General features: G+C 45.2%; 2 protein-coding genes across 11 annotated transcripts in view, besides 1 other annotated feature; one reads left to right on the top strand and one right to left on the bottom strand.

Annotated features, from left to right (window-relative positions):
• The window catches only part of ATG14 (autophagy related 14), a 45,440-nt gene extending 35,556 nt beyond the window's left edge, over nt 1–9,884 (top strand). For both annotated transcript variants that reach the window (NM_014924.5, XM_011536563.3), the window contains one exon: nt 6,350–9,884. In NM_014924.5, the coding sequence (NP_055739.2) occupies nt 6,350–6,656 (307 nt within the window). In that variant the 3' untranslated portion in view covers nt 6,657–9,884. The remainder of the gene's footprint in view (nt 1–6,349) is intronic.
• Nucleotides 1–22,343, bottom strand: part of FBXO34 (F-box protein 34) — a 171,629-nt gene that overhangs the window by 66,775 nt on the left and 82,511 nt on the right. For 5 of the 9 annotated variants that reach the window (XR_007064026.1, XR_007064023.1, XR_007064022.1 and 2 more), the window contains exons 3-4: nt 21,690–21,774; nt 21,053–21,211 (exon numbers count right to left, since the gene is read on the bottom strand). The gene's annotated coding sequence lies outside the window, so the exon portion shown is untranslated. Of the gene's footprint in view, nt 1–186; nt 2,441–16,524; nt 21,910–22,343 lie in introns of those variants that run through there. The other 4 variants (XR_007064025.1, XR_007064020.1, XR_007064028.1 and 1 more) reach the window with 3 other exon arrangements.
• Nucleotides 21,643–21,732: an enhancer, noted in NCBI's record as "active region_8432". NCBI's record gives its function as "activates an Ori minimal core promoter by ATAC-STARR-seq in GM12878 lymphoblastoid cells {active_cell/tissue: GM12878}" and the evidence as "EXISTENCE:reporter gene assay evidence [ECO:0000049][PMID:35858748]".

Here is a 22,343-nt window from a genome sequence, read left to right as displayed (position 1 = left end):
GGCCACTATTTATTGACACAAGGCCAACCACTTTACTTGCCTTGGATATTATTCCTACTTTATAGACAGGAGAAACTGACGCTTAGTATGGTCAAGTAACTCATGGCCATGGTCACAGAGCCAGTACAAGTGGTGGAGCCAGGGTCTCAGTGCACACCTGGCTGACTCCACAGTAGTAGACACTCATGCAGTTAACCAGTATTTATTATTTCATCACATTAACAGATTAAAGAAGAAAAAACATAAGATCGACCTGATAGATGCCAAAGAGAATTAAATAAAATGCAGTTCCCATTAATAATTAGGGGGGAAAATTACTAGCAAGTTAAAAGTAGATTATTACTAGTGGATATCTATCATAAACCTACAAGGAAAGTTATACTTCATGGCACGTTACTTACATAGATACTGATGTAATTTATGCAATAGATTACATAGGAACAATCAAGGATGCCTACTATCAGTGCTGTGTTAACAGCTCTGAAGGCCTTGCCAAGGCAAAGCATTTTTAAAAAGAAGTGAAGTGTATTTATATTGGAAAGAAAGAAACTAAGTTGGGAGTATTGTAGATGGTATAATTATTGAACTGGATATCCAAGAGAACTAAGAAACTGTTTGAAATGATAGTTCAAACCAGGCATGGTGGCTCACGCCTATAATGCCAGCTACTTGGGAGGCTGAAGTGGGAGGATCACTTGAGCCCAGGAGTTCAAGACCAGCCTGGGCAACATAGTGAGACTCCATGTCTACAAAAAGTAAAAAAAAAAAAAAAAAAAAAAAAAAATTTAGCCCGGCGTGGTAATGCATGCCTGTAGTCCCAGCTGCTGTGGAGGCTGAGGTGGGAGGGTCGCCTGAGTTGAGGAGCTCCAGGCTGTGGAAGTTTGTGCCACTGCACTCCAACCTGGATGACAGAATGAAGCCCTGTCTCTTCACAAAGAAAAAGATAAACATACAAAAAACAGTTGCTGTCTTGTGTGCCAACAACAACCAGTTTGGAAATTTAATGGAAAAAGTATTCCTTTTACTGTAGCAGCAAAAACTATAAATTCCATAGCAGTGATCTTAATAAAATATATGTAAAATGATTATAAAAATTATGAAGCTTATTTTTATTCCACATGTATTATTTGAATGGCTCTACACACCGTATGAGGAGTGGAGCTGAAAGAAAGCCACAGGCAGGGAAAACCCTTATGATTTTCCAGGATGAGAAGGCTCAGTGTTGCAAAAGGGCTACTTCTCAAAAGGAAGACTGATCGTATTTCATGGAGCTTTGACAAGCTGATTCTAAAGTTCAACTAGAAGTATAGTCTGCAAGGAAGTTTTGAAAACAATAATGAGGGATGGGGTTGGTCCATTTAAAACATAGCATAAAGGTAATTAAAACAGAGTGCTGTTAGCATGCAAATAGGTGGAGTGATTAGAGGAAGAAAATAGTCCCGAAACAGACTCTTGTATATGTGGAAATATAATCTTATGATAGAGGAGGCGTTGAATCAGATAATGGTTCAATAGCGTTGGGCCAGTTGGGTATTCATATGGGGGAAAAGTTGAGTTCATACCACATTCTATATACAAAAATAAAATCCAGATGATATAAAAAACCTTATTTAAAAAAATACAGCTATAAAATAAGCAAAAGGACAGTGTTTTATAATGATAGGGTGGTGAGGGAATTCCCAAGTAAGCCACAAAACCCAAAAACCATAAAGGAAAGGAGTTAGACATCTTCCTGTGTCAGAACTCTGAGTGTGTCTAGTGAAAGCTGCCATAAACAAAGTTAAAAGACATGTCATAGATAGGTTCCACAACCTCTATAACAGACAACAGATTAAAATCTAGACAACTGAAATCTTTCAAATCAGTACAGGAAAGACCAACAACCTATTAGAAAAATAGACAAAAGATTAAAACATGCGGCTCACACAAGAAATGTAAGTAGTCAGATCACTTGAGCTCAGGAGTTGGAGGCTGCAGTGAACTGTGATCACTTTTGTGAATAGCCACTGTACTTCAGTCTGGGCAACACAGTGAGACCCCCATCTCTTTAAAAAAAAACATTAAAATAATAAAAAACTTAAAATGCAATTCAAAACAAGTTTCCATTTGCAACCATCAGTTTGACAAAAATAGGAAGGCTCGATGAATCCAGCGTTGCTGGTAGTTGAGGGAAAAAAGCACTCATACTGGAGGTGAATTTTTGTAGCGGGTCTGAAGTTTTCTGTAGGCTTACTCTTGAGTCAGGTTTTCCATTGAGAATTGCACACACAATTAGGCTGTGAGTCACATCTAAGTTTATGGCCAGAGGACAGGAAGTAGAACTTCAGGAGTCCCCTTTTCACACCTGCTTCATCAGAATCAAAGTGTAGAGAAGATTGTTCATGGAACCTGGGTGGGATTTCCTGTTTCTGTTCAGACCGGCACAACTGAGGATTCTATTCTGAAAAGATAAACTTTTTTTTTTTTTTTTGAAACAAATTTAAACTTACAGAAAAATTACAAAAAAATAAAAATAGGACCAGGCATGGTGGCTCACACCTGTAATCCCAGCACTTTGGGAGGCTGAGGTGGGCGGATCACTTGAGTTCAGGAGTTTGAGACCAGCCCGGCCAACATGGGAAACTGCATCTCTACTAAAAGTACTGAAATTATCTGGGCGTGGTGGCGGGTGCCTGTAACCCCAGCTACTTGGGAGGCTGAGGCAGGAGAATCGCTTGAACCCAGGAGGCGGAGTTTGCAGTGAGCTGAGATCGTGCTGCTACACTCTGGCCTGGGAAACGGAGTGAGACTGCATCTCAAAATAAAAAAATAAGTAATAAAAATAGTACAGTCATATACACCCTTACCCAGATTGACCTATTAATATTTTGCCCATTGCTTATCCTTTGTGCAGTTTCTGTGTCCATCAATGCACACACTCCCACATATTTGAAATAGGATATATTATAAAAGTGACTTTTACAAAGCTAGAAAGATCCTTTTGTTGCCTTAATTGGTAGAATACCTCCCTGCAGCACCATGAGAAAATGAGTATTCCTGGTTCAGGGTCTTGAATAAAAAGATATCCATTATTCAGCTAAACTAAAAATTAGGAAACAATTTTATAATCTTAATTCCCCAAAGACATTAAGCAAAATAGGATGAATTATTTTGCTAGTTGGTTGTGTGTGCTGTGTCTCTAGCTTGGGGTCTGGCAGGCAGGTGATGTATCTCTAATCTAGAAGTGGGAGAGGCACTGGGTGGAGAAACATCGCAGGGGCCTCTCCTCCTGCTCTGTGGCTTCTCAGAAATGTAGGTTGATCATTGGAACCAAAATTGTTCCATACTGGCCCCTTGAGGAGTCTTCCATTCAGTCGCTTTTCATTGTACTTAGCTGAGCGCCTGCTCCGTGCCAGGTGGGTTTCTCCACGCAGAGAACCGGAGTCCACCGGGAACTTGGACATTTCCTCCTCTCTGTCCCTTCTGCCTGTCTCCTGGGAAAACTAAGACCCCAGGATTGGAGAAGGCAGCATCAAAGAAGAAAACAGGCTGAGCCTTGGAGGGAGGGAGGAAAGAAGGAAGGAGCTGTGGTAAAAAGGAAGGAAGGAAGGAAGGGAGCAGGGAGGAGCGAAGGAAGGAGCAAGCTGTGGAAAAAGCTGACTGGGGAAGAAAGGAAGGGAGGGAGGGAAGGAGGAAGGGAAGGAGTGAGGAAGAAAGGATGGAAAGAAGGGAGGGAGGGAGAAAGGGAAAGAAGGAAGGGAGGAGTGAGCTGTGGTAAAAAGCTGACTGGGACCTTTGGGGGATCCTGGGGAAGATGAGAGACTTAGCCTGGCAGTCAGTTCTGAGGTCCCCTAGACTGCACAGCTGAACAGAACAGAATCAGAGCATCTTTGGTTTAGTAAAGGAGGGAGCCCAGGGAAGGAATTTAAATTGTGAACTTTTTTAGTGGGTGCGTGCCAGGAGGAGAGAGGCAGCTCTCCAGCAAGAGGAGGCAGATGGGAAAGTGGTGGTGATATGGTGAGGACCTGGGCCAGGGTGACAAATTGAGAATGGAAAGGGGGCTTATTTAATGATAACAGGTAGCCCTGGTGACCCCAGACAGAGTGGGAGGTGGGAGGGGAGGAGTCCCAGCCAGCTAAAGTTTTGAGACTGGTTCAGATATGTGAGATGAGCCTGAGGGTTTAGTAACCAGAGGATATTTGGGAGTGGCGCTAGGAGAGGAATCGGAAAAGATGGCTCTAGAGTAGAACTGTTTGCCAAGGAAAAGAAAAAGGGGAGAAAAGAAATGAAGTGCAAGGAGAAACTTGAGAAGAGGGTGCTCAGAGCTAAAAACTGCAGTGGCCATTAGTTTGCTGGCAGAGAAATTCAAGGGGCAGTAGAAAGTCCTACTCCTTTCACCCTTGCAAAATACTGACTTCTGGGCAGGGTGGGGCCTAGTAAACTTGAGAGCACCCCTAGTCTGAGGGGCTCTTTGTTTTTTTGTTTGTTTTTTGAGACAGAGTCTCGCTCTGTCGCCCAGGCTAGAGTGCACTGGCGCCATCTCGGCTCACTGCAAGCTCCGCCTCTGGGGTTCACACCGTTCTCCTGCCTCAGCCTCCTGAGTAGCCGGGACTACAGGTGCCCGCCATCACACCCAGCTAATTTTTTGTATTTTTAGTAGAGACAGGGTTTCACTGTGTTAGCCAATGGTCTCGATCTCCTGACCTCGTGATCTGCCCGCCGCAGCCTCCCAAAGTGCTGGGATTACAGGTGTGAGCCACCGCGCCCGGCCTGAGGGGCTCTTGGAAAATGTAAATTGCTCACTGGAGACCAAGTGGGAAACCCCATGGCGTATCTTCCAATTTAATAAAGCCCTAAAAACAGTCCCTGGAGCATAAATGTTAGCTATTATTATTGCTTAATCCATCTGGGAAGCACAGGTGTCTGGGAGGAATGAGGGCTGCTTGCTTCTGTAAAAAGTGAGTCAACGGTGCAGACCTGGTGAGGTGCGTTGGAAGCCAGTGCTAGCCATTCATCATTGTGAAGGCTGTGGAGAATTTGGGACCATAGGCTGAAATGGCAAGCTATACGATTCTAGGCTCTCATTTCTGCCTGCTATTTATTTCGACCTCTCCTATTTTCCCCAAAGTCGTTATCAGTGAAACCCTTAAATGAACCAAGGCATCGTGTGCTTATCTTGGGGGCAGCAGCAGGGAGAGAGCGGCACCTTGGTCCCACCCTGTAGCTGGTTGCAGGGCAGTTCCCTGGAAGGCAGTGGGTGGGGGTGGCTGCCTACAGGGAGGACATGCAGCCTGGCTGCCCTGGAGCAGGAGCTGAGGGGCATTTGAAAGGGAGGGGAAAAAGAAGCAGAAAGGCGGCCGGGCGTGGTGGCTCACAACTGTAATCTCAGCGTTTTGAGAGGCAGGGGTGGGTGGATCACTTGAGGTCAGGAGTTCAAGACCAGCCTGGCCAACGTGGTGAAACCCCGTCTCTACTAAAAATACAAAAATTAGCCGGGCATGGTGGCAGGTGCCTGTAATCCCAGCTACTCAGGAGGTTGAGGCAGGAGAATCGCTTGCACCTGGGCGGTGGAGGTTGCAGGAGCCAAGATGGCGCCACTGCACTCCAGCCTGGGCAACAGAACGAGACTCTGTCTAAATAAAAAAAAAAAGAAATGCAGAAAGGCTTCTGAGGTTTGCTGACTCGGTTCCCTGTGCTGAGGTGCCAGCAAAGAGGATGAGGCCTAAGAAAGGGTTATTGGACTTGGCAGTGAGGGTGTTATTAGGGACCTTTGAGAAATAAAAATTGTTTTCTCCTGAAATACAGTGCAGAAATATACAACATTGCCTCTGAATATATTCTAAACAGTTGTGCCTCATTCTGTGCTAGAAATGTGTCCTAGAAAATTGTGGTGATATTTTTAAATATGTACAGGAACCCACTGAGTTTTCTTTGTATACCATTTATTACTTATTACACTAAATAATATCCAGAGTATACATCAAGTGGCTTTTTGTTAGAATTGTCTCATTGGAGTGCCGTGTATTTACTTCGTAGACACTGCAGTTCTTTACAACAGGAAGTCAGACTTAGGACCAGCATGGGCCATCTCAGTGAATAGGTTTTTTTCCTATGCACGGTCATCACCAATGAAGTAGGCAGACTTGTGGGAAAGTGTGGTATCATGATTTTATTTATAACTTGGGTGGAGATTATTTGGGTAAAGGAAAACGCAATCATATGTCAACACGGAGTGCTGCATAGACTTGGGGAATGAATGGGGTGTGCGGCGTCCCTCATCCCCTCAGGTGAGGGCCTTCAGGAAGATGGCATATTTTCTGGTGTTGAGAATGGTTGTTATCCTAAAGAGACCCTCATTGTCTGCACACAGGTCAGGGCCCTTTGAAGTACGAGCAGACCTTGAGGAGTCCATGGAATTTGTGGATCCCGGAGTTGCTGGAGAATCAGATGAGAGCGGAGATGAGCGCGTCAGCGATGAAGAAACCGACCTGGGCACAGACTGGGAGAACTTGCCTAGTCCCCGGTTTTGTGATATCCCTTCCCAGTCTGTGGAAGTCTCCCAGAGTCAGAGCACCCAGGCGTCCCCACCCATCGCGAGCAGCAGTGCAGGTGGGATGATCTCCTCTGCAGCAGCCTCGGTGACCTCCTGGTTTAAAGCTTACACTGGACACCGTTAACGAGCATGGACCAAAACATACCAAATCTGCATCAAGAAAGTTCTTCTCCCACTACACTCTAGTAAACATTTTCTGTTTAAGTTAAGATAGTGTCTGGAACAAAGAGGTTAAAGTGTTGTTTTGTTTTGTCTTTTTAAGCAGGGAGACAAACATTTCTATTTGCCAAGTGGCCTGTGATGGTGACCAACATGCTTATGATAATTAAGAGAACAGGGGTCGAAGGTCTTTCTACCCAGACCAGTGCTGGTGGAAGGAGGACCTGTGCGTGTGGCCAGTTCTGCCAAGGAAGCAGTTGATTTGGGTTCCCTCTGGGCCCGGGCCACCGGGCCCACAGATATGGGTCAGTGTGCTGGTCCTTGCGGTGCTGAGACTGTTCCTGACACTTTAAGTTTTAGAGGTTGGTTGAATCACAAGAGGTGATTCTTGATTATTAGGACATGAAAGATAAAAGCTCTTTAATAAGAGTTTTTCTGCCATTGTTTTTTGTATGAGAACCAGCAGGCAATTTAAAATTTCTAATTTGGTCCTTTGATTTTGTTTGGGAGGGGTGAGTTACACGTATTTTATTCATGCTGCTCTGTCGTAGTTTGTCAGACATTCCTGTTTTTCTTTCCCCCACACACCAAAGAAAATGAAAGTCTTTTTCTTTAGGACCCACATCCATAAATGGAAGAAATCCTGGCTGCAATAATGTCTAGAGAGTTTTTAACTATTTTCTTGTATTCTGAGGGGAATTAAGCTTATTCTTACCTAGTTGAATTCCTGCCATCCACACTATGAGCATTTTGAAATTGAACTTATATTTTCTGGGTGAAAATAAGTCATGAAGGTCATTCCCTTATGTAAGCTCAATGCCTGCCTGGGCACAGGGGAAAAGCCACTTAGTTAAGTGGCCTCTGGTCATTCTTGTGGTGTCCACTTTCTTTCTATGGGATTGAGTAGGTGGCAGGTGTTTTCAGGGGAAACCATCCTACTTGTTTCCCCGAACTCTTTGTTGCTCTGAGGACACAGCTTTGCTCAGAAATGCAGCGCAGATCCTTACGGCTGATGCTACTCTGCTCTGTTCTGGGGAAAGCACAATATAAAGAAAGAATTTCCCAGCCAGGCGCAGTGGCTCACGCCTGTAATCCCAGCACTTTAGGAGGCCGAGGCAGGCGGATCACTTGAGGTCAGGAGTTTGAGAGCAGCCTGGCTAACATGGTGAAACCCTGTTTCTACTAAAAATACAAAAAATTACCGGGTGTGGTGGCGCACGCCTGTAATCCCAGCTACTCGGGAGGCTGCGGCAGGAGAATCGCTTGAACCGGGAGGCAGAGGTTGCAGTGAGCCGAGATTGTGCCATTGCACTCCAGCCTGGGCAACAAGAGCGAAACTCCGTCTCAAAAAAAAAAAGAATTTCCCTCAGCAGGAGATCATTTTCAGCTCACGTGTCTTGTCATTCTTTTAGTGACAATCTTACAAGAAAACTATAATGAGAGAGGCATTATGTACAAATATGTAAGTAGTTTATTTTTAATAACTGCAAAAAAATCCTATGTAACAACTACCAAAAGAAATCCTATGAAAGAGTCCTAACAGGCATTATTACCATATCTTATGTGATTGGCATGATAGCACCTCTGATAAATCATTCAGAGGTTTGCCATGCCCCAGCTTCTTTTCTCATCATAATAATTGTAGTTGATACTTTGCCTCCAAGTCCGAGGTGCTATATAGCTTTTGCTAATGGTATATTTGGTGTTTTGTATAGTTTTGGGTAGAGTTGCAGAACGGAGTTTATTTCTATCCGGTAGTCACAAATTCCTTGGCTCTATGAATTTTCCATGAAAGGAGGAAGTAGGCTTTTCTCGTTGTGGGTGGTCTTTTTTTTTTTTGGAGACGGAGTCTCACTCAGCTGCCCAGGCTGGAGTGTAGTGGCACCATCTCCGCTCACTGCAACCACCATCTCCTGGGTTCAAGCAATTCTTCCATCTCAACCTCCCGAGTAGCTGGGATTATAGGCACCTGCCATCATGCCCAGCTAATTTTTGTATTTTAGTAAAGACGGGGGTTTTCACCATGTTGGCCAGGCTGGTCTTGAACTCCTGACTTCAGGTGATCCGCTTGCCTTGGCCTCCTAAAGTGCTAGGATTACAGGCCTGAGCCACCGCGCCCGGCCCCTTATGGGTTCTTCTACACTGCTGGGATCTCTGTTTTAAGTGCTCAGCTTCATGATTGATTGCTGGGCTTCCATTTTCCCATCCAGTTCTGGAGTTCGTAGAGAGTGAAGATGGTAGACTTGAACAGATAAATAAACTTAACGATCTTGTAAGAGTTGTCTAGCTACTTAAAACCCTCAGAAGTAAGAGCTTAGTCTCACGAGTTGTAAGAGTGGGATTTGGAGCTTGGTGGTGGAGACTGACTTCAGCTGAGAGATGCACAACAGTCATGGTTTTCTTAAGCCTCTTATGAAACCATGAATGAGAGATGAAGCTAAAGAATAGAATCCAGAGATCACAAACTCATCTAGAGTACTTCCACAAAATTTACAAAGATGTGGGAACTTTATGGATAGGATATATTTTGTTTGTTGTTGTTAATATCAACTAGAGGCACTTTACATAGGGTTAAGTGATCGAACCCTTTTGTGGTTTTGAACACCAACATACTGGCTTACACTGCTGAAATATTTTGGGTTTCATTATTTTGCACTGGATCCACCCTGTAAATACTCTTAAGTATACATTTCAACCACTGTTTTTTCTACTCTTTTTGCTGCTCATTAAAATCTTTCATGTAGGTGCCAGAACCATATGTAAACAGCTTTTTAAAAAATTGAAGCTGGTATTTTGTTTAAACAAAAAGCCATAGAACTTGGTCATGTTTTCCATTTTAAAATGATTTACTGAAACAAAGTAATACTAATAAAAACCCACAGGCACCAAACAGGCTGCTTAAAATGGTCTGTTAAAGACATTTTTTGGTTATGGAATATAAGAAAAGTTTTGCACATCTGTAAGGGGGAAAAACAGTATATCACCATTGGGTAGAGTGGACGGGACTCATGTAAGGACTCAATTTGGGGAAGAGCATTCAGTGGCATGCTGTTAGAGGACTAGTGTCCGAGAATCTCCTCACAGTATCATGTTGCAGGAATTCCCCATTGCTCTGCAACTTCCAAACCAGTTTGAGTCATACAAATGTTTTCTAAACTTTTATTGTATTACTGCAATAAATCTTTTAACAGTACTTTGCTCATGTGTATGTCTTTTTCAAACTGTTCATTTGCACTGCTGCATCGAGGGTAGCAAGAATGAGATTGAACCCTGGAGTACTTTATACAAATTATAGAAGAAGTTTGTAGAATTTTTTTGCCAGGTAAGAAAAAATGTTAATATATTTTTTAAAATTATGGATTATGGTGGTATTAACAATGATCTTTCCCAAGCTGAGAAGCTGGTTGCATACTTTCCCTAAAGACGTGTTTTTCTTTGGTAGCCATCATTTGATGCATGTGACCTACAATGACCTGGTTTTGTGCAACAGACCCCTGGGGCAGAAGGCCTCTAGGATGCCCACGTGGAACCTGCCCAGACTTTCTTCAGGACAAGAGGAAAAGGGAAATGTTGGAACCACTCAGATGCCTGAGTAGCTTTGGAGAATCCCTCCCCAACCCAACACCCTTATTTTTTATAACTAATTTCTCCCAGGTGGGTAGTCGGCGGTACCCTTCAGATTAGATTATTGTAGAGAAGGACCACCTGCAGGTGGTGGAGAAGATACCAAGAGTGACTACTGTGGAAGAGCCAGGCCAGCCAGGATACCCTCAGGAGCTATTGCCATGGTCATACTGCCCCTTTATCTGGAGCAGAAGGCTGGCAGGCAACAGGAGGAAATAGGCAAGGAAACGGAAGGGTTCTCGAACAGGGTGTGTGCTTTGGTGGTACTGTCCTTCAGTCTTTCCAGGCAGCAGTTTAAAGCATGCTCCCATCTGGTGTTTAAAGGGAGATTTCTCCATCCTGAGTTATGTCATGATTGATGCAGGAAACAGATTGGGAGGAATTAAGGATAACTTTGTCATTGGTAGTGGGGAGATTATTTAAAAGTTGCATCAATAAAATGTACCAGAAAACTTGAAACTGGACTCTTGGGCAAGCCATCTGCACCTCAGCCTTGAAATTCAATGAGGAAAACCACCACCAGCCGACTTGGTAAGAAAATACACTGCAAAGAGTATTTTCCAGTGCTTAGATAGTTGAAGTGAATTTTTTTTAGGGCGGGGCACAGTGGTTCATGCCTGAAATCCCAGCACTTTAGGAGGCCAAAGGCAGGAGGATTGTTTGAGCTCAGAAGTTCAAGGCCAACTTGCGCAACATAGTGAGACCCCATTTTTGTTTTTTTTTTTTTTTTTTTTGAGATGATAGAAGAGATGATAGAGTCTCACTTTGTTGCCCAGGCTGCAGTGTAGTGGCACGATCTCGGCTCACTGCAAGCTCTGCCTCCCAGGTTCACACCATTCTGCCTCAGCCTCCTGAGGCAGGTGTCTGCCACCACACCTGGCTTTTTTTTTTTTTTTTTTTTAAAGTAGAGATGGGGTTTCACCACATTAGCCAGGATGGTCTCAATCTCCTGATCTCGTGATCTGCTCGCCTCGGCCTCCCAAAGAAGTGCTGAGATTACGGGCGTGAGCCACTGCGCCCAGCCAGTGAGACCCCATTTCTACAAAAATTGAAAAATTAGCCAGGCATGGTCGTGTGCATCTGTGGTCCCAGGTACTCAGGAGGTTGAGCTGGGAGGATCACATGAGCCTGGGATGTTGAGGCTACAGTGAGCTGTGATTGCACCACTGTACTCTACTCTAGCCTGGGTGACAGAGTGAGACCTTGTCTCAAAAAAAAAAAAAAAAAAAAAAGTTGGGCACTGTGGTTCACACCTGTAGTCCCAGCACTTTGGGAAGCAGAGACAGGCGGATCACCTGAGGTCAGGAGTTCAAAACCAGCCTGGCCAACATGGCAAAACCCCATCTCTACTAAAAATACAAAAAAAAATTAGCCAGGTGTCGTGGTGCATGCCTGTAATTCCAGCTACTCAAGAGGCTGAGGCGGGAGAATCACATGAAACTAGGAGGCAGAGGTTGCAGTGATCCAAGATCGTACCACTGCATGCCAGCCTGGGCGACAAAGACTCCATCTCAAAACAACAACAACACAAAACCAGAAACCACCAGTGGGACAATCTTTCCTCCAAGAAAGAGGATAGTAAACTAAAGAGTTATTTACATCAATGACTTTTTTGTTGTGCCTTTTGTAGGGAGGAGCCAGAGATACTCTGGTGGTGGGAGGGATCTAAAGGAGCCTTTGAATGAATGCTGCCCTTTAAAAAGAGAAAATTAGCTGGGCGTGGTGGCTCACACCTGTAATCCCAGCACTTTGGGAGGCCAAGGCAGGTGGATCACCTGAGGTCAGGAGTTCAAGACCAGCCTGACCAACATGGAGAAACCCGGTCTCTACTAAAATACAAAATTAGCCAGGCATGGTGGCACATGCCTGTTATCCCAGCTACTCGGGAGGCTGAGGCAGGAGAATCGCTTGAACCCAGGAGGCAGAGGTTGCAATGAGCTGAGATCAAGATCACACCATTGCAGTCCAGCCTGGGCAACAAGAGCGAAACTCTGTCTCAAAAAAAAAAAAGAAAATTGGCAGAAGGTATTTGATGACACTAGTTAAGTGTTGAAAATGGGCTAGAGCGAGTTGAGTAAAAAAAAAAACGCAGAGGCATTAAGCAGGAGTGTCCAATCTTTTGGCTTCTGTGGGCCACATTGGAAGAATTGTCTTGGGCCACACATAAAACACATTAACAATAGCTACTGAGCTATTTTTTAAAAATTGCAAAAAATCTCATGATGTTCTAAGAAGTTTACAAATTTGTGTTGGGCCACATTCAAAGCCATCCTGGGCCGCATGCAGCTCATGGGCCACCGGTTGAACAAGCTTGCATTAAAGAGTCTTGTGGGCTGGGCGTGGTGGCTCACAGCTGTGATCCCAGCACTTTGGGAGACGAAGGTGGGTGGATCACCTGAAGTCAGGAGTTCAAGACCAGCCTGACCAACATGGTGAAAACCACATCTCTACTAAAAATACAAAAATTAGTCGGGTGTGGTGGTGGGCACCTGTAATCCCAGCTACTCGGGAAGCTGAGGTGGAAAGATCATGTAAACCTGCGAGGCTGAGGTTGCAGTGAGCCAAGATCATGCCACTGCACTCCAGCCTGGACGAAAGAGCAGACTCTATCTGAAAAAAAGAAAAGGCCAAGTTCGGTGGCTCATGCCTGTAATCCCAGCACTTTGGGAGGCCAAGGTGGGTGGATCACCTGAGCTCAGGAGTTCGAGACCAGCCTGGCCAACATGATGAAACCCCATCTCTACTAGAAATTAAAAAAAAAAAAAAAAAATTAGCCAGGCGTGGTGGTGTGTGCTTGTAATCCCAACTACTCAGGAGTCTGACGCGGGAGAATCGCTTGAAACCAGAAGGCAGAGGTTGCAGTGAGCCAAGATTGTGCCATTACACTCCAGCCTGGGCAACAAGAGCGAAACTCCGTCTCCAAAAAAAAAAAAAAAGAGAGAGAGAAAAAAGGGGTCCTGTGGCATTGATACCTCTAGATCCATATGAGATTGTTCCTGACCTCACCTTCCCTTTGGGTGTGGTATTTTAGCATTTTCTGTATGGCTTCAGAAGACACCCGGATTTTGAGGAAAGAACTTTCCTACCCTTTCCAGCAGCTTATTTCCCTAATTAAAAAAAAAAATTGTCAAGACAACATTTCTGGAGTGTAAGTATGTTGCTCTCAATTTGGGAATGAAAGTGCCAAGTGGTTTGATGGTAGATGGAATAGAAAGACCTCCCAACCCAAGGCTGATGAAAGAACGATAGGAGCAGAGAGTATCTTCTGTGATCAGCAGTTTCACAGTTGCATTCAAAATAAAGAGGACTAAGTCTAGTATCCACAGGAGGAAATAACTGTTTTCTGGTTCAGGGGCCACTGGTACTGGCTTAAGGGAGTTCTGCTACTCCTTTGAGACATTTTACATTCTTTTTTTCCTTTATACAAGCATACCTTGTTTTTTTGCGCTTTGCTTTGTCACACCTCTCCGTGGGTTTTTTACAAATTGAAGGTTTGTGATAACCCTGCAATGAGCAAGTCATCAGCGCCATTTTTCCAGTGGTATGTGCCCACTTCATCATGTCTGACATTTTGATAATTCTCACAATATTTCAAATCTCTTCATTATATCTGTTATGGTGATCAGTGATCTTTGATGTTACTATTGTAATTGTTTTGGAGGCCCACGAACTGTCTGTATAAGAGAGCAAACTTAATAAATGTGTGTATTCTAACTGCTACACTGACCTCCTGTTCCCTCATTTCCCTCTCTTCGGGCCTCCTTATTCCCTGAGACACAACAATATTGAAATCGGGCCAATTATAGCCCTACAGAGGCTTCTAAGTGTTCAAATGAAAGAGTCCCATGTCTCTCACTTTAAATCAGAAGCTAGAAATGATTAAGCTTAGTAAGGAAGGCATGTCAAAAGCCAAGACAGGCTGAAAGCTGGATCTCTTGTGCCAAACAGCCAAGTTGTGAATGCAAAGGAAAAGTTCTTGAAAGTAATTAAAAATGCTACTCCAGTGAACACACAAATGATTTAAAAAGCAAAACAGCCTCATTGCTGATACGGAGAAAGCTTTAGTGGTCTAGATAGATGAAACCAGCCACATTACCTTAAGTCAAAGCCTTACCCAGAACAACGCCCTATCTCTTTAATTCTCTGATGGTTGAGAGAAGTGAGGAAGCTGCAGAAGGAAAGTCAAAAGCTAGCAGAGGTTGGCTCATGAGGTGTAAGAAGCTGTCTCTGTAACATAAAAGTGTAAGAGAAAGCAGTAAGTTATCCAGAAGATCTAGCTAAGGTAATTGATGAAGATGGTTACACTAAACAACAGATTTCCAATAGAGATGAAACAGCATCCTATTGGAAGAAGATACCATCTAGGATTTTCACAACTTAGAGAGAAGCCAGTGCCTGGCTTCCAAGCTTGGGAAGGACAGGCTGACTCTCTCATTAGGGGCTAATACGGCTGGTGACTTTCAGTTGAAGCCAGTGTTCATTTACCATTCCAAAAATCCTAGGCCTGTTAAGAATTATGCTAAATCTACTCTTCCTGTGCTCTGTAAATGGAACAACAAAGCCTGCATAGCAACACATCTGTTTACAGCATGGTTTACAGATTAAGCCCACAATTGAGACCTACTGCTCAGAAAACCAGATTCCTTTCAAATTATTACTGCCCATTGACATTGTACCTGGTCATCCAAGAGCTCTGATGGAGATATACAAGGAGATTAATGTTTTCATGCACGATAACAACATCCATTCTGCAGCCAATAGCTCAAGGAGTAATTTTGACTTTCAAGTCTTATTTAAGAAATACATTTTGTAACGCTACAGCTGCTATGGATAGTGATTCCTCTGATGGATCTGGGCAAAGTCAACTGAAAACTGGGATGGATTCGCCATTCTGGATGCCATTAAAAACATTTGTGATTCATGGAAAGAGGAAAAATATCAACTTTTTTTTTTTTTCTTTTTGAGACAGGATCTCACTCTATCACCCAGGCTGGAGTACAGTGGCGTGATCTCGGCTCACCGCAACCTCCACCTCACGAGTTCAAGCAATTCTCCTGCCTCAGCCTCCCGAATAGCTGGGATTACAGGTGTTCACCACCATGCCCAGCTAATTTTTGCATTTTTAGTAGAGACAGAGTTTCACCACGTTGGCCAAGCTGGTCTCAAACTCCTGACCTCAGGTGATCCGCCCGCCTAGGCCTCCCAAAGTGCTGGGATTACAGATGTGAGCCACCATGCCCGGCCAAAATATCAACATTAACAGGAGTTTGGCTTACAATCCTTTCTACTTTCACCTTCAAGTCTAGCCTCTCGTTGTTTAAAATAAACATCGCGTGTAAAACAGAAAAGATAAAAATAGAGTGAAAAAAACAAAAAAATCCCAGGGTTTATGAGTTGATTCCAATCCTTATGGATGACTTTGAGGGGTTTAAGACCCATGGAGGAAGTAGCTACAGATGTGGTGAAAAACAGCAAGAGAACTAAAAGTGGAGCCTGAAGATGTGACTGAAATGCTGCAATCTCATAATAAAACTTGAATGGATAAGGAGTTGCTTCTTATGGATGAGCAAAAGAAAGTGTTTCTTTTGGCTGGGCGTGGTGGCTCATGCCTGTCATCCCAGCACTTTGGGAGGCCGAGGCGGGCAGATCACCTGAGATCAGGAGTTCAAGACCAGCCTGGCCAACATGGTAAAACCCCGTCTCTACTAAAAATACAAAAATTAGCCAGGCATGGTGGTGCGCACCTGTAGTCCCAGCTACTTGGGAGGCTGAGGCAAGAGAATCTCTTGAACCCAGGAGGTGGAGGCTGCAGTGAGCTGAGATCGCACCACTGCACTCCAGCCTGGGAGACAGAGCGAGACTCCAACTCAAAAAAAAAAATTATTTTTTTCCTCACTCTCATCCAGGCTGGAGTGCAGTAGCAATGATCATGGCTCACTGCAGCCTCGACGTCCTGGGCCCAAGTGATCCTCTCACCTCAGCGCCTCAACTAGTTGGGACTATTGGCATACACTACCACACCATTTTTTTTTTTTTTTTTTTTGTAGGCACAAGGTCTCCCTATGTTGCCCAGCCTGGTCTTGAACTCCTGGGCTCAAGCAGCCCTCCCACCGTGGCCTCCCAAAGTGCTGAGATTACTGGCAGAAACTGAAATGAAATCTATTCCTGATAAAGATGCTACAAACATCATTGAAATGACAACAGAGAGGTTTGAGATTTTGAAGTAAGTTATAATGGGGGTAAAATGCTATCAAACAGCATCACATGCTACAGAGAAATCTTTCGTGAAAGGAAGAGTTAATCGATACAGCAAACTTCATTGTTGTCTTAAATTGCCATAGCCACCCAACCTTCTGCAGCCACCAACTCTGATCAGTCGTCAGCTATCAATATTGAGGCAAACCATACACCAGCAAAGATTATGACTCACAGCTGATTGTTAGCATGTTTTAAGCAATAAAGCATTCCTTAATGTACATTGTTTTTTAGACATAATGCTATTGTACACTTAGTACAGTATCACATAAACATAACTTGTATATGCACCAGAAAATTCATGACTTGCTTTATTGCAGTGGTCTGGAACTGTTGGATGGAACGAATTTTATCTAGAGCCTGGTGAACAGCTTCCCAGGTGTGCATTTAGGGCCTCCTAGGGATCATCAAGTTTTAGGAAATAGGTTTCCTTCTTCCACAGGCATGGAGAAGGAAGGAAATTTTGCACTGGCCTTTGGGAAGCTGAAGAAGAGCTGGGGGGAGGCTTGTTCTGACAAAATAGTGACTCTCTCCCTGCTTGAAATGTCCCACAGAAGGCTGTTTCTGGTTCACATTTGCCCCTCTAGGTCCACTCCCTCCCCTTCATCCTGCTCACTGCCAGAGAGACTATGCTGGGAGTGGTGCATCGGTGGTCTCCAGGCCCTTTGAGGCTCAAGGTGTTCATTCCCTGGCTCCTTCCCTGCCATGTCTTTGTTCCTTCCTCCCTCCTTCCCATCCCAGCAACCACCCTCCTCCTTCCACCAGACCTGGGAACCATCATCCCAACCACAATCACCCCGTGGTTCTATTACACGTGTCAGTAGTTCTCAACCCCACCTGCAACTGGAATCACCTGGGAGCTCCCACCCCCAGTGGTTGATTTAATAGGTCTAGGGTGTGCCCTGAGCATTGAGAATTTTAAAAGCTCCACAGTTGATTCTAATGTGCAGCCACTACCCTGCCCACTACTACCCCACCCACTACTACCCCCAACCAGGCAGCTGGGGCCTCTGCACCAGCTCCTGCACATTAGTAGGGCCAATCCTTTGGCCTTCCTGCCCTGCGCCTCTTCATGGGCAAGGAGTTTGAAGGATCAAGGGGGCAGGCACTGTTCCAGAATCTTTGTTCTCCTTATAAACCATTACCTAGGTTCCCAGAACCTCAGGACCTCCAGCCCTTCCCCAGCTTTGTCCTCCAGACAGATCCCTTCGTCCTGAGAAGTGGCTGAGGCGTGGCTCAGTACAGAGGGTGGGAGGATGCTGGAGGGGATGTGCTGCAGGAGGGCTCTCTGTGTTCCTGCCATGGGCCCTGCAAATACTGGGAAGGGCTTGTCCCTATATCTACACCCTTATAATAAATCCTTGAATTTACTCATTTCAAGTGTGCAGCAGTTTCCTTTCAAGACCCTGCATGGAGCACAGACTTAGAAATCTGAGGGGCCTAAAGCCAAGACCACTGGCCGTGGAAAAGGAAAAGTTCACGAGAGGTCCCAGCTTAGGCACTAGGGCAGCCAAGTCATCTCTGCTTAGGAGAGAAAATAAGGGCTGGTAGAGAAAGGGTATTGCTCAAGACAGGCCACACACCCTGTAGCAGAATCATGCTGCGTTGTCTGTATAGGGGAGGATTGGTGAGGAAGGGCAGAGTGAAGGCCAACAGTTCGGTCCCAGAATAGGGAAGGGTGGGTGGGCCAGGCCTGGCTCCAACCCTACCCTTGAACCAGACTGCAAACACTCAAGTTATGCAAATAGATTATCCAGCCTCACAGTGGAGAGGGAACAGATACAATTAAATACAACCTTGCTTTCCATTTTACTCATGTTTGGCAACTAATTGATTTTTTATTTTTTATTTAACTAATTGATTTTTAGTTTTTTAAGAACTTTATCAACATCTTCATATTTTTTGAGACAGGGTCACCCAAGCTGCAGTGCAGTGATGCAATCATGGCTCACTGCAGCCAACTTCCTAGGCTCAAGCTGTCCTCCTGCATCAGCCTCCTGAATAGCAGGGGCTACAGGTGTGTGCCACCATGCCTCACTCATTTATTTTTTGTACAACGACAGAGTCTCACTTTCCTACCCAGCCTGGTCTCAAACTCCTGAGCTTAATGATTTTTCCACCTTGGCCTCCTAAAGTGCTCGGATTACAGGCATGAGCCCTTCATACTTCTTAATAAACAGATCTGAGACTTCAGTACCAGTATGTAAAGGAAAAGTCCACCTTAATTCAAAAAGAATGAGAGGGGGGTCCCAAAAGGAGTTTGTTCTGAGGCCTGTTCTCTGCTCACTGAAGGATGCTTGGCTGAGGGGGCCTCTGGGAGAAAGGGTAAAAGGTTTTGTTCTGCTTTGCAGATAGAGGAACATCACCTCTTACATGGGCTGCTGCCACATAAGGGACTGCCATCTCTGCTTCCATTTCAGTTCTTCCCAGACACTGGCTCTGCTCCCCTAAAACTGTTAAGGTCAAACCAACCACCTGGAATGGTGATGCTACCTTACTGTGCTTTTCCTCACATCAGTTTGGTATAAATGCACTGGATGTTACCCAAGGGTTTATAACCACCAATGTTTGCTCTTCCCAAGAGGTTGTGCAAACATCAGCTATGGCCACAAATGACAGGCAGGAAATGACATGTATGTCAGTTGAGACTGCACATCTCCCACACAGGTACCTTGACCAACTCACAAAGATTGCAACACTAGCTTTTTTGAGGAAAAACGGGGATAAAAGCAATCAGATTCCCAGCCTGGGCAACGTGGCAAAACTGTCTCCACAAAAAAATACAAAAATTAGCCAGGCATAGTGACATGCAGCTGTAGTTGCAGCTACTCGGAAGACTGAGGCAGGAGAATCACTTGAGCCCAAGAGGTTGAAGCTGCAATGAGTCGAGATCATGCCACTGCACTCCAGCCTAAGCGAGAGACCCCCATCTCAAAAAAACAGAAACAGCCAGGCACGGTGGCTCACGCCTGTAATCCCAGCACTTTGGGAGGCTGAGGTGGGCAGATCACAAGGTCAGGAGTTCAAGACCAGCCTGGCCAATATGGTGAAACCCCATCTCTAGTAAAAATAAAAAAATAAAAAAATCAGCTGGGCCCACGTGGTGGCGCATGCCTGTAGTCCCAGCTACTCGGGAGGCTAAGGCAGAAGAATCACTTGAACCCAGCAGGCTGAGGTTGCAGTGAGCTGAGATCGCACCACCGCACTCCAGTCTGGGCGACAGAGCAAGACTCCATCTCAAAACAAACAAACCAACCCCAGAAACAATCAGATTCCCCAAGTGTCAGACACTGCACAGTAGAGAATGCCTTTAAACGAGGCATACCCGACATACAGCTAGATAACATCAGCTCTCATTGGTTTAGTCGGTGGTGTACACAAAAGAAGGGCTCGCAGTGTGCAGGCTAATTTCATGTTTTTGTATCAGGCTGTAGATAAAGGAGGACAAACAGCCAGTCTGCTGAGTGAAGAAGGAACGGAGCTATGGAAAATACCTGGGAACACTCACATAAAAACAGTGCCCCAAGCTGGTCCAAAAAGGTTGGCACGAAGGTACTGACAAGTCCAAGTTAGAAGCGGTGATTGGACAAAGCCCAGGAAGGGAACCTCTAGGTCATAACATAACCACCGGCTCAGAGCCTGCTGCTAGGGGAGCTACTACTGGTGCTAACAGAACTGAGGTTATACCAGATGCACAATGAGAGGTACCGAGCAAACCCCACATAGCTGCAGTGGGAGTTTCCACCAAGGATGCTCCCATGAGACCAGCTATGGCCAGAGGACAAGGTCCTCCAAGACCCCTTTACCTCCCTGTCAGGTTTCTCATACTAAACAGAAAATTATGGTATGGCCCAGAGCAGTCAGGTCCTGGAGGCACTCCTCACATTAAAATGGTCACTCGAGAGGAATGCACACATTTTACAGAGTGTGTTGTGTGAGGCACTGTGGGCGATGCCCTCTGAGTTGAGTGCAGTGGGTGGGCAAGCTCCACAGTGGTCCCTCGGTATCTGCAGATGCTCAAGTCTCTGATGGAAAATGGCTTAGTATTTGCATATAACCAATGCATAGCCTCCCATCTACTTTAAATCACCTCTAGATTGCTTATAATACCTAATGTAAACAGTTGTTATGCTTGTATTGTTTAGGGAATAATGACAAGAAAAAAAGTGTGTATGTTCAGTACAAACACAATGTTTTTTTCTGAGTATTTTAAATCTGAGGCTGGTTGAATCTGCGATGCAGAACCTACAGATGGGGAGGGCCAAAGATACGGTGACAGACAAGAAGAGGGGCATGTGGTGGCAGATGTGCAGAGGGCGCTGAAAGGCACCCAGCCAAGCAGGGGCATAGGGTTGGGTTCCAAAAGAGGTATCTCCTAAGCACAGAGCCACCAACGTGCTTAGGGTTTGAACAGTCCTCTCGTATGTCTGTTTTAACCTGGAGTCATTTAAGAGAGCCTAAAAAAGCAAATGTTACTCTTACCTGAGCCCCTCCTTAGCTTTCAATTCACTCCTTCCTTGGGTCTGGACCATCCACTGGGCAGGGGAGAGGTGAACCACTCCAGGAATAGGAGCAGCAGCTCCCTGACTCCTCCTCTAGTTTCCCTGGTTCTGGTTTTTGCTTCAGATGATCAAGTAAGGGCTTGAAGTAGGAGGTAGGAGAGAAAAAAACTAAGCCAGGTGTACTGAGTCCCTGAAGAAAAGCTGAGGGGGGAGGTTTTCTCTTTTTTGGTGGGGGCAGGGGTGCAGTGGGGAGAGGCTAGGGTGCTGGTGCCCACACTGACACACTATCATGTCCTTTCTTGAATTCTGTGATCCTACAGCAATGCAGGAAAGCAGGTAGTGCGGCACACTACTGGAGACATTTTAAAAGCCTGCTGTTTTCACCAGCTTGGCACTAGGGGGCCCTGAAGAACAGCATCTTTCACCTAAGAGGAAAGCTACACTTGCCTAGAAATGAAGCCCTGGGAGGGGGTGTCCTCTGATGCCACCTGCTAATCCTCCACCTTTCATGCAGACAGCACCGGGAACCAGGTCCTGCCACATAGTTCAAAACAGATAACCGGCGATTTCTGAGGGACCCAAGTACTGCATGCCAACTGGGGCTGGGACATACTTACTGTGCCCTCTGCTCTTGGTCACTTTAACCCCTCACGCAGTCACAGCTTTGTGTCCCACATGAAAACCAGATCAAGAGTGGCTGATCTGTGAAAACCAACCAAGAGAGTTGTTTATCCAGTGTCCAGGCTGGGCCAGTGTAGAGCCATAGTCAATGTCAGCCATAGCTGACGTCTACAGGCAAGCTGTACTCTAGGTCCTTTATGTTGATCTCCTTTAAACCTAAATTATGAATCATAACAAACCAATTAAGAAGGCACTACTGAGATGGCCAGTTTACAGCAAATACAAGGGGAGTAGGACAAACACTGGAAACCTCAACCAAGGGGACAGCTAGGATTTAGAAGCATTTTCCAACATGCCTCACCTGGGTGAGTCATAAGGAAAAACACTCTTGAAGGAAAAGCTATTCTCAGCCTCCTCTTGATCCCGTGTCACAGACAAATCTGATGAGCCTGGAGGCTGCAGCCTACCATGTCACCAAGCACATCAGCCCAGCACAGCGCCTCCCCTAGAGCACGTACCATCCTTCTCCACAGCCTGCAGCCGACACTGGTCTCAAGGCTTTTTGGTGGGTACTCGATTTCAAGCCAGCCTAGTTTTTAGATCTTCCACCCACAGCAGCTTTCTGGGGTCCAACACCTCCCAACCCCACC

This window comes from Homo sapiens, chromosome 14 (assembly GCF_000001405.40).
Source record: "Homo sapiens chromosome 14, GRCh38.p14 Primary Assembly".
NCBI lineage: Eukaryota > Metazoa > Chordata > Mammalia > Primates > Hominidae > Homo > Homo sapiens.
The sequence above is the reverse complement of the archived record's forward strand: the minus strand, read 5'-3'. Positions and strand labels throughout refer to the sequence as shown.